Genomic DNA, 18,506 nt, shown 5'->3' with positions numbered 1-18,506 from the left:
GTCAGTGGACTGGGAGAGGAAGACCCGCCCTCAATGTGGGTGACAGCATCCCATCTGCTGCCAGTGCGGCTAGAACGAAGCAGGTGGAGGGAGTTGGGATGATCTGGCTTCCTGGGTCTTCTGGCTTCCTTCTTTTTCCATGATGGGTGCTTCCTCCCACTCCTCCTGTCCTTGGACATCATACTCCAGATTCTTCAGCCTTTGGACTCTGGGACTTGAACCAGTGGCTTCTGGGGGGCTCTTGGGCCTTTGGCCACAGATGGAAGGCTACACTGTTGGCTTCCCTGGGTTTGAGGCTTTCAGACTTGAACTGAGCTACTGCTGGCTTTTCTCTTTCCCAGTTTGCAGATGGCCTATCGTGGGACTTCTCTTTGTGATCATGTGAGTCAATTCTCCCTAAAAAACTCCATTTTATACATACATATATCCTATTAGTTCTGTCTCTCTGGAGAGCCCTGACTAATATAAGTGGAAAAGGCAATATCAAAAATTACACACTGGGAAGATACACACCACACCAGCACATGAAAACATGTCACTAATCATTAGGGACATGCACATCAAAAGCAAAATGAGATATCAGCTCTCATCTGTCAGGATGACTACTATTAAAAAAAAAACAGAAAATGCCAAGTGTTGGTGAGGATGTGGAGAAATTGGAGCCCCTGTGCTCTGCTGGTGGGAATGTAAAATGGTGTGACTGCTTAACACACGATGGCTCCTCAAAGAACGAAAAATCGAATTACCACATGACTCAGCAATTCCGCTCCTGGGTATATATCCAAAATATTCTTTGGATAGCTATTCTATATACTCAGAGTGTATATATCCCCAAATAATATTTTGAATATATACCCAGAAGATACTTGCAGGTATTTGGGGATACTGTATCTGTATACCCATTTTTATAGCAACACAATTCACTACAGCCAAAACATAGAAATAAGTGTCCATTGATGGATGAATGAACACACAAAATGTGGTCTATCCATACAATGGAATATTATTTAGCTTTAAAAAAGGAAGGAAATTCTGACACATGCTACAACATGGATAAATCTTGAGGATATTATATTAAATAAAATAAACCAGCCACAAAAACACACATGCTATATGATTCTACTTAATTGAGGTTCCCAGAGTAGTCAAATTCACAGAGATGGAAACTGGAATGGTGGTTGCCAGGTTCTGGGGGAGGGAGGTCTGAGGAGTTACGGTTTAATGGGTACAGATTTTCAATTTTGCAAGATGAAAATGTTCTGGAGATGGGTTGCATAGCAATGTAAATAAGCTTAACACTACTGAAGTATATATTTAAAAATAGTTAAGCTGACACATTTTATCTTATGTGCATTTTACCACAATTAAAAAAAATTGACTTGTGATTGCCTTCTGGCAGCAACTGTCACTGGCTCCAGCTAGTGTTCTGGCCTGGGGTGTGTTGTGAGTCCTTGACTGTATCTTCCTGATCCCTGTTTGCCATGGTCTGACAAATCAATGCTCAACACATCTTCACTGAATGTCAGAGGGAAAGAGGGAGACAGAGAGAAAGGGAAGAAGGAATGAACAGAAAACTCACAAAAGATAAATTACAAATGGACAGTAGCCAAATGAGGAAATGTTCAGCTTCACTAGTAATCAAAGAAAAGGCCATTAAAGCAACAATGAGTTTCCATTTCTCTTGACAAAATGAGCGAAGATTTTTATTATTATAATTTAAAACCTAGTGCTCGCAAGGATTTGTTGAGATGGGTAACTTCAGACAGTGCTTGTACATTTCTGGAAGGAATGTAGTAGTATATCTCAGCAGCCCTGTAAATGTTCATAGCTTTTGACCCAAGTAGGACAAATCCTAGGGGACTGACAAGATACTCAGACAAAGATTTAGGGGCAAAGATGCATGTTACAGAGTTACTTAAAACAGCTCAAAGAGCAAAGCTAAATACCTGGCAAAATAGAGAATGCTTAGGTACAAGATGCAACATTATGTAGCTACTAATAAATCATATTTTACAAGAATATTTAATGATGTGAAAAATTTTTACAATGATACATGCACCTAGGTGATATATAGATGTATATATATATATGCACACATATATATATATATTTATAAATAAATAGTAAAAAATGGTCGGGCGAGGTGGCTCACGCCTGTAATCCCAGCACTTTGGGAGGCGGAGGCAGGTGGATCATGAGGTAAGGAGTTCAAGACCAGCCTGGCCAATATGGTGAAACCCCGTCTCTACTAAAAGTACAAAAATTAGCTGGGCATGGTGGTGTGCGCCTGTAATCCCAGATACTCGGGAGGCTGAGGCAGGAGAATTGCTTGAACCTGGACCCGGGAGGCGGAGGTTGCAGCGAGCCAAGACAGCGCCACTGCACTCCAGCGTGGGCTACAGAGCGAGACTCCGTCTCAAAAACAAACAAACAAACAAAAAACAAATTACTTCACCATCTGAGCTTTCAAAAAGTGCTTGGAGACACAAAATGATGAGGCATAGTCCGTGTTCTCAAGGAGCAGACGGCATGGTGGTGGAGACCTCTACTATGAGGAGAGGGGAATGTGGGTGGTGGTGTTGGGGCAGGGACCAGGGATGGAGCCCTGCAGAGGTGGTGCCTGCACGGCTTTGAAGGATTTGCACCCTTGCCTCTGCTTCCCCTGAACTTGGTGGTGGTGCCTCCTGTTGATTTTGTTCTTTCCCGCCATTGCTTGCCTTCAGTGCTCTGTTTCTGTGATAGGTTTACAGTGCTTTAGGGTTTATTTTCTCCACGATCTGTCTTGGTGCAACTCAACCAATAACGGATATTCTCCAAGGCTTTATTTTTATTTTTATTTTTTTATTTTTATTTTTTTGAGATGGAGTCTCGCACTTTCACCCAGGCTGGAGTGCAGTGACGCGATCTCGGCTCACTGCAAGCTCCACCTCCCGGGTTCATGCCATTCTCCTGCCTCAGCCTCCCAAGTAGCTGAGACTACAGGCACCCGACACCACTCTGGGCTAATTTTTTGTATTTTTTTTTTTTTTTTTTTTTTTTTTTTTAGTAGAGACGGGGTTTCACCGTGTTAGCCAGGATGGTCTCGATCTCCTGACCTAGTGATCCACCTGCCTCGGCCTCCCAAAGTGCTAGGATTACAGGCGTGAGCCACCGCGCCTGGCCAAGGCTTATCTCTTTAACACCGTCACTGCAGCAGGCTTGGGAGTCAGTGTTTAAGTATCCCTTGGCTTGCATCTATTCTGACAAAGATAACCTTTCTTGGAGATCAAGGTCTGGAGGGTGGGCAGGACCTGCACTAGCTGAAGGCCATGGTATCAGGAACCTAGGCTGTGGAGCTGGGAGGCAGGCACCTCCATTAGGAAGTGGGAAAATGTGACCCCTGACCCCCGAGCAGCCTAACTGAGAGGCACCCCCCAGCAGGGGCAGACTGACACCTCACACAGCCGGGTACTCCAACAGACCTGCAGCTGAGGGTCCTGTCTGTTAGAAGGAAAACTAACAAACAGAAAGGACATCCACACCAAAAACCCATCTGAACATCACCATCATCAAAGACCAAAAGTAGATAAAACCACACAGATGGGGAAAAAACAGAGCAGAAAAACTGGAAACTCTAAAAAGCAGAGCGCCTCTCCTCCTCCAAAGGAACGCAGTTCCTCACCAGCAACGGAACAAAGCTGGATGGAGAATGACTTTGATGAGCTGAGAGAAGAAGGCTTCAGACGATCAAATTACTCCGAGCTACGGGAGGAAATTCAAACCAAAGGCAAAGAAGTTGAAAACTTTGAAAAAAATTTAGAAGAATGTATAACTAGAATAACCAATACAGAGAAGTGCTTAAAGGAGCTGATGGAGCTGAAAACCAAGGTTCGAGAACTACGTGAAGAATGCAGAAGCCTCAGGAGCCGATGCGATCAACTGGAAGAAAGGGTATCAGCGATGGAAGATGAAATGAATGAAATGAAGTGAGAAGGGAAGTTTAGAGAAAAAAGAATAAAAAGAAACGAGCAAAGCCTCCAAGAAATATGGGACTATGTGAAAAGACCAAATCTACATCTGATTGGTGTACCTGAAAGTGACAGGGAGAATGGAACCAAGTTGGAAAACACTCTGCAGGATATTATCCAGGAGAACTTCCCCAATCTAGCAAGGCAGGCCAACATTCAGATTCAGGAAATACAGAGAACGCCACAAAGATAATCCTCGAGAAGAGCAACTCCAAGACACATAATTGTCAGATTCACCAAAGTTGAAATGAAGGAAAAAATGTTAAGGGCAGCCAGAGAGAAAGGTCAGGTTACCCTCAAAGGGAAGCCCATCAGACTAACAGCAGATCTCTGGGCAGAAACTCTACAAGCCAGAAGAGAGTTGGGGCCAATATTCAACATTCTTAAAGAAAAGAATTTTCAACCCAGAATTTCATATCCAGCCAAACTAAGCTTCATAAGTGAAAGAGAAATAAAATACTTTACAGACAAGCAAATGCTGAGAGATTTTGTCACCACCAGGCCTGCCCTAAAAGAGCTCCTGAAGGAAGCGCTAAGCATGGAAAGGAACAACTGGTACCAGCCACTGCAAAATCATGCCAAAATGTAAAGACCATCAAGACCACGAAGAAACTGCATCAACAGACGAGCAAAATAACCAGCTAACATCATAATGACAGGATCAAATTCATACATAACAATATTAACTTTAAATGTAAATGGACTAAATGCTCCAATTAAAAGACACAGACTGGCAAATTGGATAAAGAGTCAAGACCCATCAGTGTGCTGTATTCAGGAAACCCATCTCACGTGCAGAGACACACATAGGCTCAAAATAAAAGGATGGAGGAAGATCTACCAAGCAAATGGAAAACAAAAAAAAGGCAGGGGTTGCAATCCTAGTCTCTGATAAAACAGACTTTAAACCAACAAAGATCAAAAGAGACAAAGAAGGCCATTACTTAATGGCAAAGGGATCAATTCAACAAGAAGAGCTAACTATCCTAAATACATATGCACCCAATACAAGAGCACCCAGATTCATAAAGCAAGTCCTTAGAGACCTACAAAGAGACTTAGACTCCCACACATTAATAATGGGAGACTTTAACACCCCACTGTCAACATTAGACAGATCAACGAGACAGAAAGTCAACAAGGATACCCAGGAATTGAACTCAGCTCTGCACCAAGTGGACCTAATAGACATCTACAGAACTCTCCACCCCAAATCAACAGAATATACATTTTTTTCAGCACCACACCACACCTATTCCAAAATTGACCACATACTTGGAAGTAAAGCTCTCCTCAGCAAATGTAAAAGAACAGAAATTATAACAAACTGTCTCTCAGACCACAGTGCAATCAAACTAGAACTCAGGATTAAGAATCTCACTCAAAACCGCTCAACTACATGGAAACTGAACAACCTGCTCCTGAATGACTACTGGGTACATAACGAAATGAAGGCAGAAATAAAGATGTTCTTTGAAACCAACGAGAACAAAGACACAACATACCAGAATCTCTGGGATGCATTCAAAGCAGTGTGTAGAGGGAAATTTATAGCACTAAATGCCCACAAGAGAAAGCAGGAAAGATCCAAAATTGACACCCTAACATCACAATTAAAAGAACTAGAAAAGCAAGAGCAAACACATTCAAAAGCTAGCAGAAGGCAAGAAATAACTAAAATCAGAGCAGAACTGAAGGAAATAGAGACACAAAAAAACCATTCAAAAAATTAATGAATCCAGGAGCTGGTTTTTTGAAAGGATCAACAAAATTGATAGACCACTAGCAAGACTAAAAAAGAAAAAAAGAGAGAAGAATCAAATAGACTCAATAAAAAATGGTAAAGGGGATATCATCACCGATCCTACAGAAATACAAACTACCATCAGAGAATACTACAAACACCTCTACGCAAATAAACTAGAAAATCTAGAAGAAATGGATAAATTCCTCAACACATACACTTTCCCAAGACTAAACCAGGAAGAAGTTGAATCTCTGAATAGACCAATAACAGGAGCTGAAATTGTGGCAATAATCAATAGCTTACCAAGCAAAAAGAGTGCAGGACCAGATGGATTCACAGCCGAATTCTAGCAGAGGTACCAGGGGGAACTGGTACCTTTCCTTCTGAAACTATTCCAATCAATAGAAAAAGAGGGAATCCTCCCTAACTCATTTTATGAAGCCAGCATCATCCTGATACCAAAGCCAGGCAGAGACACAACCAAAAAAGAGAATTTTAGACCAATATCCTTGATGAACATTGATGCAAAAATCCTCAATAAAATACTGGCAAAACGAATCCAGCAGCACATCAAAAAGCTTATCCACCATGATCAAGTGGGCTTCATCCCTGGGATGCAAGGCTGGTTCAATATACGCAAATCAATAAATGTAATCCAGCATATAAACAGAACCAAAGACAAAAACCACATGATTATCTCAATAGATGCAGAAAAGGCCTTTGATAAAATTCAACAACCCTTCATGCTAAAAACTCTCAATAAATTAGGTATTGATGGGATGTATCTCAAAATAATAAGAGCTATCTATGACAAACCCACAGCCAATATCATACTGAATGGGCAAAAACTGGAAGTATTCCCTTTGAAAACTGGCACAAGACAGGGATGCACTCTCTCACCACTCCTATTCAACATAGTGTTGGAAGTTCTGGCCAGGGCAATTAGGCAGGAGAAGGAAATAAAGGGTATTCAATTAGGAAAAGAGGAAGTCAAATTGTCCCTGTTTGCAGATGACATGATTGTATATCTAGAAAACCCCGTTGTCTCAGCCCAAAATCTCCTTAAGCTGATAAGCAACTTCAGCAAAGTCTCAGGATACAAAATCAATGTACAAAAATCACAAGCATTCTTATACACCAACAACAGACAAACGGAGAGCCAAATCATGAGTGAACTCCCATTCACAATTGCTTCAAAGAGAATAAAACACCTAGGAATCCAACTTACAAGGGATGTGAAAGACCTCTTCAAGGAGAACTACAAACCACTGCTCAAGGAAATAAAAGAGGATACAAACAAATGGAAGAACATTCCATGCTCATGGGTAGGAAGAATCAATACCGTGAAAATGGCCATACTGCCCAAGGTAATTTACAGATTCAATGCCATCCCCATCAAGCTACCAATGACTTTCTTCACAGAATTGGAAAAAACTACTTTGAAGTTCATATGGAACCAAAAAAGAGCCTGCATCGCCAAGTCAATCCTAAGCCAAAAGAACAAAGCTGGAGGCATCACACTACCTGACTTCAAACTATGCTACAAGGCTACAGTAACCAAAACAGCATGGTACTGGTACCAAAACAGAGATATAGATCAATGGAACAGAACAGAGCCCTCAGAAATAACGCTGCATATCTACAACTATCTGATCTTTGACAAACCTGAGAAGAACAAGCAATGGGGAAAGGATTCCCTATTTAATAAATGGTGCTGGGAAAACTGGCTAGCCATATGTAGAAAGCTGAAACTGGATCCCTTCCTTACACCTTATACAAAAATCAATTCAAGATGGATTAAAGACTTAAACGTTAGACCTAAAACCATAAAAACCCTAGAAGAAAACCTACGCATTACCATTCAGGACATAGGCATGGGCAAGGACTTCATGTCTAAAACACCAAAAGCAATGGCAACAAAAGCCAAAATTGACAAATGGGATCTAATTAAGCTAAAGAGCTTCTGCACAGCAAAAGAAACTACCATCAGAGGGAACAGGCAACCTACAAAATGGGAGAAAATTTTCGCAACCTACTCATCTGACAAAGGGCTAATATCCAGAATCTGCAATGAACTCAAACAAATTTACAAGAAAAAAACAAACAACCCCATCAAAAAGTGGGCAAAGGACATGAACAAACACTTCTCAAAAGAAGACATTTATGCAGCCAAAAGACACGTGAAAAAATGCTCACCATCACTGGCCATCAGAGAAATGCAAATCAAAACCACAATGAGATACCATCTCACACCAGTTAGAATGGCAATCATTAAAAAGTCAGGAGACAACAGGTGTTGGAGAGGATGTGGAGAAACTGGAACACTTTTACACTGTTGGTGGGACAGTAAACTAGTTCAACCAGTGTGGAAGTCAGTGTGGCAATTCCTCAGGGATCTAGAACTAGAAATACCATTTGACCCAGCCATCCCATTACTGGGTATATACCCAAAGGACTATAAATCATGCTGCTATAAAGACACATGCACACGTATGTTTATTGCGGCACTATTCGCAATAGCAAAGACTTGGAACCAACCCAAATGTCCAACAATGATAGACTGGATTAAGAAAACGTGGCACATATACACCATGGAATACTATGCAGCCATAAAAAGTGATGAGTTCATGTCCTTTGTAGGGACATGGATGAAATTGGAAATCATCATTCTCAGTAAACTATCGCAAGAACAAAAAACCAAACACCGCATATTCTAACTCATAGGTGAGAATTGAACAATGAGAACACATGGACACAGGAAGGGGAACATCACACTCTGAGGACTGTTGTGGGGTGGGGGGAGGGGGGAGGGATAGCATTAGGAGATATACCTAATGCTAGATGACGAGTTAGTGGGTGCAGCGCCCCAGCATGGCACATGTATACGTATGTAACTAACCTGCACATGGTGCACATGTACCCTAAAACTTAAAGTATAATAATAATAAAAATAAATAAATAAATAAATAAATAAATAAATAAATAAATAAAAGATGTCAAAAAAAAAAAAAAAAAGGAAGTGGGGAAATGAGACCTAGAGAAAGACAGTCTTGTCCAAGACAGGATTCCAGCCGAGCGGCAGAGCTGGGACTGACCCTAGCTTTCCTGACAGTCGGGCGGGGCACCTCAACACGACACTCTGCTACTGTTCTGCTCTCAGTCTCTCAGCTGGAGGTGGCAGGACTTTTCTTTCAGCTGGAACACTGGACTTCTGCAGTGGTGCAAAGAGACCAGAGCAGGCTTTTGGTGGGGGTGGCTGGTGGCTGCCTTTAGTATTGATATAAGAATGATGGAAATTATCTTTGTGTGCACATCAGGAGACCATCCAGATATCTTTTAAAATTTGTAATTGAAAAAAAAATTACAACCCAAATGAAATCTAGCCATTTTCTTCTATTTTGGTTTTATATAGTTTTTTTTTTTCCTGTTTGTAAAATCCCCACATGTTCTGGAAGTTTTAGCGGATGTGATAAACAAATCAAAGATGCACTTTGTAACTAGTAAAAGTAAGATATACTCGATTACTTTTAGGTATGATGTTTGCCTGCTTATAAAGCCCGGGGGATTACTAAGGGAGCTACTGCAGGTAAGAAGAGGACAGTTGCCCAATGAACCAAGGCAGACTTCTGGCTGCAAACTCACAAAAAGACTGGATAGGATATAAATGTGTAGCCATAAAGCTATATACATAGTAATGTGTGTATATATACATACATATGTAAATATGTATATATGTATATTAGCTGAGCTAAATAGAACAGGTGGGGGCTGATAGAAAGAAACAGAAAGCCTCAGTTTCCCTGAGTGGTAACACAAGAGCAGATACAGGTGCTTGGCACTTTGATGGGTGCTGGGGTTCGATGGCTCACACCTGTAATCCCAGCACTTTGGGAGGCCAAGGTGGGTGGATCACCTGAGATCAGGAATTCAAGACCAGCCTGACCAATACGGTGAAATCCTATCTCTACTAAAAATACAAAAATTAGCTGGGTGTGGTGGCGCACACCTGTAGTCCCAGCTACTCCGGAGGCTGAGGCAGTGGGATTGCTTGGACCCAGGTGGTGGAGGTTGCAGTGAGCCAAGATTGCCACCTCACTCCAGCCTGGGTGACAGAGCAAGACTCTGTCTGAAAAAAAAAAAAAAGAAAAAGAAAAAGAAAAAGAAAAGAAAAGAAAAGGGAGTGGAAAAGAGACAGTGCTGCCCTCTTCATGAGGCTCGCATGCTACAGTAGGCCACAAACATTAATCAAAGAATCACACAAGCAGAAAATACTGCCATTGTGCAAAGTGCTATGACAGCAGGTATCTGGCATTCAGGAGGCATTTTACCTGACTGGGGAAATCAGAAAAAACACAAGCAGAGACCTGAGGGACAATTTCCTTTTAACAGTAAAACATTTAAAACAAAATCTAAAAGAACAGAAAGAAAACATAGAGGGATAATTTGGAGGTAGGGCTTATATTTTTCTTTTAGCATAATACTAAGGAAAAACATTGCAAAATTTGACCCTGTCAACATTTAAAGCTTCTGCTCATTGAAAAAAAAACACCATATGCAAAAGTAAAAGGCAAAGTGCAAATTGCAAAAAAAGTTTGCAATAAGCCTAGGCAAGAGTTAAATTTTTCATATATAAATAGCTTTATCCATCAATAAGAAAAAGATACCTGCACCTACTGAAAAAATAAAAAACGGGCTTAGAACTGGACAGTCTCACACACACATTAAAACAAGTAAATACAGAAGGCCAATAAACATCTAAAAAATATTTGCCTTCTGTTGTCATCAAAGACACATGGATTACAACAATAGCATGTCTTTTTATTTATTCAGGTTATGAAATTGGCAGGGATTTGAATGCTGAGGTATTAAAATGTTGAGGAAAGTGGCAGGAAACGGGTGGGAATATAAATTGGTACAATTTTTCTGGAGGGCAATTTGGCAGTATCTATCAACTACTTTAAAAATATGCCTATTTGGTAATTTCACTCAAAGAATTTATCATAAGGAAATCAATATGCATGTGTACAAAGATTGCGTGAAGGATATTAACCCCAGTGTTATTTACAATAGAGTAAAACTGAAAACAACATAACTGTCTAACAAAATAAAGTATGGCAGAATACTAGGCAGCCATTAAAATTTGCATTGTACAGGAACTGCTAATGTTGCCAAAAAATGTTCACAATATACGATTAAATGAAAAAAAGGCAGGTTACACAACTGAAAAATTCATAGGGAGGCCAGAACCACACATCCACGGAAACGTAAGATAGCACCTATGACTCGAGTGACACTACCAGTCAGGAGGCAATGGGTGGATAATTCAATGAACCACACTGGGATAATTGATTATCAATATGAAAAAATAAAATGAGAGCATTATAGCACACTAGAGACAAATGTAAATTCCAGATGAAAGAACAATCGTGAAAAGAAAAACTAAAAACTTTTAGAAGAAAATATAGCATCATATCTGTGTGATCTCAGGAAGAGAAGGATTTAAGTGACAAAGAGGGCAAACAAACCATAACATAAAATATTGGCAAATACTACAAGGTTAAAATTTAAAAAAAATCTGTACATGAAAAGATAGATCCCCAAAATGCAAAAGTTGCTACAAATTGGCAGAAAATGAATTCAACGCATAGAAAAGAGGAAGAATTATTTCAGAACATTTGAAACCGAGCTTCTTCAACTTCAATATGCATGGGCATCGCCAGGAGATCTTTTGAAACACAAGTTCCGATTCAGCAGGTTTGGGTGGGGCCTGAGAGTCTGCATTTCTAACAAGACTTCAGGTGCAGTTTATGCCCTGCTCCAAAGATCACACTTTGAAAACGGCAGGATATACAGAACCCCCAAATTGGGGTTCAGCCTGGGAGGCCATCTGGGTTCTTGGCTTCATGCAGGAAGGAATTGAAGAGTTAGCCACCAGAGTAAAGTGAAAGCAAGTTTATTAAGAAAGTAAAGGAATGAAAGGGTGGCTACTCCATAGGCAGAGCAGCCCTGAGGGCTGCTGGTTGGCTATTTTTATGGTTATTTCTTGATCATATGCTAAATGAGGGGTGGATTATTCATGAGTTTTCCGGGAAGGGGCAGGGAATTCTCTGAGGGTTCCCCAGTCTTTCAGACTATTTAGGATAACTTCCAGCTATTGCCATGGCATTTGTAAGCTGTCATGGCAGTGGTGGGAGTGTCCTTTAGTATGCTCATGTATTATAATAAACGCATAATGAGCAGTAAGGCAACCAGGGGTTGCTTTCATCACCATCTTGGTTTTGGCAGGTTTTGTCCAGCCTCTTGACTGCGTCCTGTTTTATCAGCAGGGTCTTCGTGACCTGTATCTTGTGAAACCAGTCCTGCCAAACTCATATCTCACTACAGACAAATGAAAGAATATAACCCCATACTAAATTTGGTGAAGAGTCTGAGCAGGTAATTCTCAGGAGAAACCAAATGATCAATAAACATGTGGTGTGAGTTAGGATGGGGTTGCTGCTGCAACGTGTGTCCCCACAACAGACGTTTCTTTCTTGCTCATATAAACAGGGCAAATGTTCCAGGCTGGTGAAGGGAGGGGCAAAGTTCTCTCTTCACAGCTCACAGGGTTCCTGGCTGTTGGAGGCTCTGCCATCTTCAATATGGTAGTTCCAAAGTTGCCGTAGGAATTAAGCAGCTGGAAAAAGAAAAGAAGGAGAAGGATCCCGCATGGGAGGTTTTCCTGGGCTGGACCTGGGGATGGTAGCAGGTTGCTACTCACATTCTGTTGGTTAGATCACCATTCAAGGCCACAGCTGAATGCAGTTGAGCTTGGGAAATATAGTTTAACTGTGCCCAAGAAAAAGAGGAACCGTGCTGGGTGACTAGCTAGCAGTGTCTGCCACACATCTGAAGACACTGAACTCAGGCAATTAAAACCATAATGTGATTCCATTTCACACCATTGAATTGTCAAAACAAAACATAGGGCCACCAACCAACCACACAACTCCACACAGAGAATGTTCCCTCTCCCACCTCTCCAACCCCTTCCCCTGTTTAGTTTAAAAGTTTTTTTTTTTTTGTTTTGTTTTTTCCTGAGATGGAGTCTCCCTCTGTTGCCCATGCTGGAGTGCAGTGGCACCATCTCGGCTCACTGCAACTTCCGCCTCCCAGGTTCAAGCCTCCTGAGTAGATGGGATTACAGGTGCACGCCACCACATCCAGCTCATTTTTTTCCTTTTTTTCTTTTCTTTTCTTTCTTTTTTTTTTTTTTTTTTTAGTAGAGGTGGGGTTTCACCATGTTGGCCAGGCTGGTCTCAAACTCCTGGCCTCAAGTGATCCGCCTTCCTCGGCCTCCCAAAGTGCTGGGATTACAGGTGTTAGCCACCGCGCCCGGCCTCCCTTTTTAAAATTTTTATTCCATGCATGTATTACCTCTAACATACCGTTAATATCCTTATGTATAATGTTGTTTCCTGTCTGCCTTCCCTCTCTAGACTGTCAACTCCAAAAGGAAAGGGGCTATTTGTCTATGGCGCTAACTTCTGCATCCCTAGTGCTGGCACACAGTAGGCCCTCAACAAGATGTGCTGAGCGGGGAGGCTGAAATAGGGGTGCTCCAGGGGGCAGTCTAGTTTTCCAGTCACACCAGCCCGTAGCCCAGACACTAGACATGTAGGGAGTTCCTGGTCCCTCTAGCCCTCAGCCACTTGGTCATTTCCAGCTTATGGGTCTTCCCAGCTGAGGTCCCAGGCTTCGTGGAGGACAGACAAGTTTTTCCATGTCAGATTCCCAACCCATAGTATTTGTGAGCATAATCAATGACTGTTGTTTTCATTCTTTAAAGTTTTTTGTTTAATTGTAACAGTCAGTTTACTAAGTTACAATTTATATTTAGTAAAACGCATCCCTTTTCAGTAGTTCAATGAGTTTTCCCGACAAATGTATAGTCATGAAACCATCATCACCATCATCACAATCTATAGGACATTTCCACCACCCACAAACTCCCCTCTAAGACCCAAGCTTTGGGGTGGTTTCACATACAGCAACACTCACAGGACCCACATCCTCCTTTCTCTTTATTGTGAACAGTGTCCTTGTTTAGTGACTGTTTTCCCCGCTCTGGAATATCCTTTCCTGTGAGCTGTTGCTAAACCTGTTTCCTCATCAGTCTCCAAGCTCTGTGAGAGCCAGATCTGTGTGACTCGTTGACCGTAGCTGCTCCTATGACTGGCACAGCTTTGGGTTCATAGTAGGTACTCATTAAACCATCATTTCATGCATGGAAGAAGGTGATGGCACCTGCTGGCTCTGGAGACTCGAATTCTCACTCTGGCTTCAATCTTCTGTGGGAAAGTCATGTGACTCAGCCTCAGACAGTCCAAACTCGAGACAGGGTTATAGTTCCCCATGAAAAGGCTTACGGCATGGAGGCGGTTCAGCTCATTGCCTCAGTCATTTGCTTACCCAGTAAATATTTATTGAGCACTGACTATGTGCTGGGCACTATACTAGATGCTAGGGATGCAAAGGTGGACATGAGCAGATAGAGGTCTTATGCTCCCAGGGCCTACCAGCTAGTCGGGGAGTCACATGTAAACCCAGTGAGCACACATGTGTTCTGAGACGCTATGGCAAATGAGGATGTGTCTCTGTCATGAGCTCAGTGGTTCAACAATATTCTTTGGCACCTGAATGAATCCCCATGTTCTCTTGGGATCATTGCTCAGGAGGGAGAATTGTTCTTATTTGCTGTCAAGGTTAGAGATGTTCTGAGAATCACCGTGTTTACACTAACAATAGCTTCTGAAATAAATGCGGGGAGGGCAGAAATGGGCAAAACCACCAGGCAGTCTGTTCTCTTTCATAATCCCTGACTTTAAAATGACAAAATAGACCTTTTGGATAAACCAACCAGCCTCATAAATATTGTCCAGGATTCAACCTGGGGGCACTTGCTTGACAGCACTGGAAATTACAAATGCCTTGCACTTATCCTGCAATGACTTTATGCTTTGGAAGGAAGTGTGCTGTCTTATAAATATTTCCCATTATGGAACTTTTTGGTAAGCTCCTAAAGTAATTTTAGATCTCAGCTAGGTTTGCTCTCCCTGCTGCCCAATACAATATCTTCCAGGACTGCAGCACCCAAGTGATCTAGAGAAAAGAGAAATTAAGACTATTTTCCAGCTTTCTGTAAGCATTTGCATGTGAATGAAGGCATCCTGCTGTTTGATAAATATGATACCTAGGAAAACCATGAGAATCAAAGTTCGCATCCAGTTGGGCGCTTTATGTGTACGTTGTCAAGGTTGCTACAGAAAAATGTGATACTATCCTTGCAAGTATATGACTAATGAGAATACGTATAGCACATCTGAGACGGCTCAAATGTGTAATTATTGTGAGGATTTCACAGACACATAAATATAATGATCTTCAGCTAAGTAAATTGCTAGCTACCAATGAAATAAATAGAGTCCCTTCAGAATTTGAAATAATTTGGAATGGTAGGTGGTAGGAAATGATTCACCTTAGCTGTTATCTCCGGAACAGTAATATAGAAATATATCTGCCAACTCTGGTGCATTTACATTGTTCTTCATATCCTGTAGAGTTTGTCAGAAGAGCTCTGGTCCCTGCTGACTTCCACCCCCTGATCTGATAAGCTACAGCACAGCACGGCTCAGCACTGGGTAGAGCAGCTAATATTGTTTACCGTGGTAGCCATCCCAGCCATAATATTTTTCCAAGAAACACTGATGTGTTTAAAGGTCAGGTTGATACTGATTTGACGGAATAACATAAATTCAACTTTCTAGGAGTAAAATGGTGTACATGACTTGGTTTAAAGGTTAAACTGTTTTTTGTGCACTGGATAGGTCAAAGATATAAGGCTTTAATACACAAAGTATAATTACCTGTTTGGACAGAAAGGAAGATGTGGTCTACGGTTTGGATTTTCGGAGAGATGTTTGAAAACATAGGAATCTATTGATGTCTTGTCGTTCTTGAATACATTTCACTATAGGGAAAAAATAAATCCTACAAGGGTGCTTAATTGGAAGGACTGTCAATTTCTCTTTTTCTACTTATATGACTGCTGGGATTCCAGGAATTGATTTTTTAGAACACGGCCCAACAGTCTAAGAATGTCTTCAGATACAAAGTTCCCTCTGGGCTGGTAAACTCCTGCATAAAAAAAGTACAGAGTAGGTGCTAAATAAAAGCTCGGTAGATGAATGACTTAAATGCATCATTGATTTTAGTCCACAAAGTTGGTTTTAATAAATAAGATGAAAGGTGAATAGATTCCCTGTAACTAGAATCTAAAAATAGATAGATCTGGCTGGGCGTGGTGGCTCATGCCTGTAAGCCCAGCCCTTTGGGAGGCTGAGGAAGGCAGATCACCTGAGGTCAGGAGTTCGAGACCAGCCTGGCCAACATGGTGAAACCCCGTCTCTACTAAAAATATAAAAATTAGCCAGGTGTGTTGGTGGGCACCTGTAATCCCAGCTACTCGGTAGGCTGAGGCAGGAGAATCGCTTGAACCCAGAAGGTGGAGGTTGCAGTGAGCGGAGATGGCACCACTGTGCTCCAGCCTGGGTGACAGAGCGAGACTCCATCTCAAAAATAAATAAATAAATAAATAAATAAATAAACATCTTGGACCCAGAAAGTTTCTTCATTCATTCCTTCACTCTTTTTTGTTTTCACTAACAAAAGAATTCTAAAGCACTTACCACATTGCTGTGCTATGCTGTGTATGGAGATTAACTGACCACATTGCTGCACTATGCTGTGTATGGAGATTAACTGACCACATTGCTGCACTACGCTGCGTGTGGAGATTAACTGACCACATTGCTGCACTATGCTGTGTATGGAGATTAACTGACCACATTGCTGCACTATGCTGCGTGTGGAGAATAACTGACCACATTGCTGCACTATGCTGTGTGTGGAGATTAACTGGCAGGACATGGTCCTGACCTCATAGACTTTATGGGCTGTCTAGGAAGGAAAATAAAATGAGTCGAAGGCATAACAGGAGAATAAGAGGGATAAGGTGGGCCCAGCTGCCCTGCGTGCTGTGCCTGGGGACAGGCCCCACTAGCATCCTTCTCCCCTGTACCAGAGAGCAGCCATCCCCAACCTTTTGGGCACCAGGGACCAGTTTTGTGGAAGACAATTTTCCCACACACCAAGGCTGGAGGGGATTGTTTCCAGATGATTCAAGCACGTTCCATTTATTGTGCACTTTATTTCTGTTATGATTACAGTGTAATGTGTAATGAAATAATTATGCAACTCACCATCATGTAGAATCGGTGGGAGCCCTGAGGTTATTTTCCTGCAACTAGATAGTCCCTTCTGGGGGTAATAGGAGACAGTGACAGATCATCAGGCATTAGATTCTCTCTCTATTTCTTTTTTTGAGAGAGAGTCTCGCTCTGTCTCCAGGCTGGAGTGCAGTGGCACAATCTTGGCTCACTGCAACCTCTGCCTCCTGGGTTCAAGCAATTCTTCTGCCTCAGCCTCCTGAGTAGCTGGGACTACAGGCACATGTCACCACACCTGGCTAATTTTTGTATTTTTAGTAGAGATGGGGTTTCACCTTGTTGACCAGGATGGTCTCAATCTCTTGACCTTGTGATCTGCCCGCCTCGGCCTCCCAAAGTGCTGGGATTGCAGGCATGAGCCACTGCCCTTGGCTCTCTTTTTTTCTTTATGTGTAGAGACAGGGGTCTCATGATGTTGCCTAGGCTGGTCTTGAACTCCTAGACTTAAGTGATCCTCCCACTTCAGCCTCCCAAAGTGCTGGGATTACAGGCATGAGCCACCGTGCCCAGGCTAGATTCTCATAAGGAGCGTGCAAATTAGTCCCTTGCATGCACAGTTCACAATAGGGTTTGTGCCCCTATGAGAATCTAATGCCACTCCAGATCTGACAGGGGGCAGGGAGCTCAGGCGGTAATGCAAGTGATGGGGAGGGGCTGTCAATACGAATGAAGCTTCACTTGCTCATCTGGGCTCCTGCTGTGTGGCCTGGTTCCTAACAGGCCACCAACTGGTACTGGTCGGGGAACCCTGCCATTGAGAGTTCTTTCTCCTGGCTCTGGTCACATTTTATGGGAAACATGTTTCTTTTCCTGAGGACTCCTCCCCGACTTATCAACTCTGACATACAGACCCTCATCCTAGGCTCATTGCTCACCAGCAAGCACTTTCTGAGCTTCTCGGGTCCCGGGGGAGGCTGGACTGAACCGGAATGGGCCCCTTATACCCTAGGGCCCAAGTTCTTACAGTGCAGTACAAGAGCCAGACATTTGGAGTTTGCCTAACCTGCCCACTGGGCCCAGCCAGTGCCTCCTTTCCCTCTTTGCTTGGTGACATGGGGCACTTTGCACTCTAGAGGGTCCTGTGTTCCGGTGGAGGGGGGTGTATCATCTCAGACTGCAGGAGTTGGGTGGGGAGGGGAGGTTGTGGCTCTGATTTTCAATATTAGGACTGCATAAGGGAACTGTGGATACGTTGTCCTTTTGACGCCTGGCACTGTGGACGTGAGGTTTGTGCAGGTGGCTGCATGCCCTGCCACAGAAACCAGCCTCCAGGGCTGCCATGCTTCAGCAACAGCTTAGCCTGCCCCCAGATTTTGCCATCATTTGCATGCCAGCATTTTAGAGGTGAGAATGATGGCACAGCCTTATCTGTGACCACTGTGCAGTATAAGGTTCGTCAACAAGTTCTCCTGGGGGCTGGGTTAG

General features: G+C 42.4%; 1 protein-coding gene across 1 annotated transcript in view; it reads left to right on the top strand.

The window, feature by feature from the left end:
* The window catches only part of TEX36 (testis expressed 36), a 106,642-nt gene that overhangs the window by 61,177 nt on the left and 26,959 nt on the right, over positions 1-18,506 (top strand). The window lies entirely within an intron of this gene.

This window comes from Homo sapiens, chromosome 10 (assembly GCF_000001405.40).
Source record: "Homo sapiens chromosome 10, GRCh38.p14 Primary Assembly".
Taxonomy (NCBI): domain Eukaryota; kingdom Metazoa; phylum Chordata; class Mammalia; order Primates; family Hominidae; genus Homo; species Homo sapiens.
Note: the sequence above shows the minus strand (reverse complement) of the source record. Positions and strands in the feature narration are given on the sequence as shown.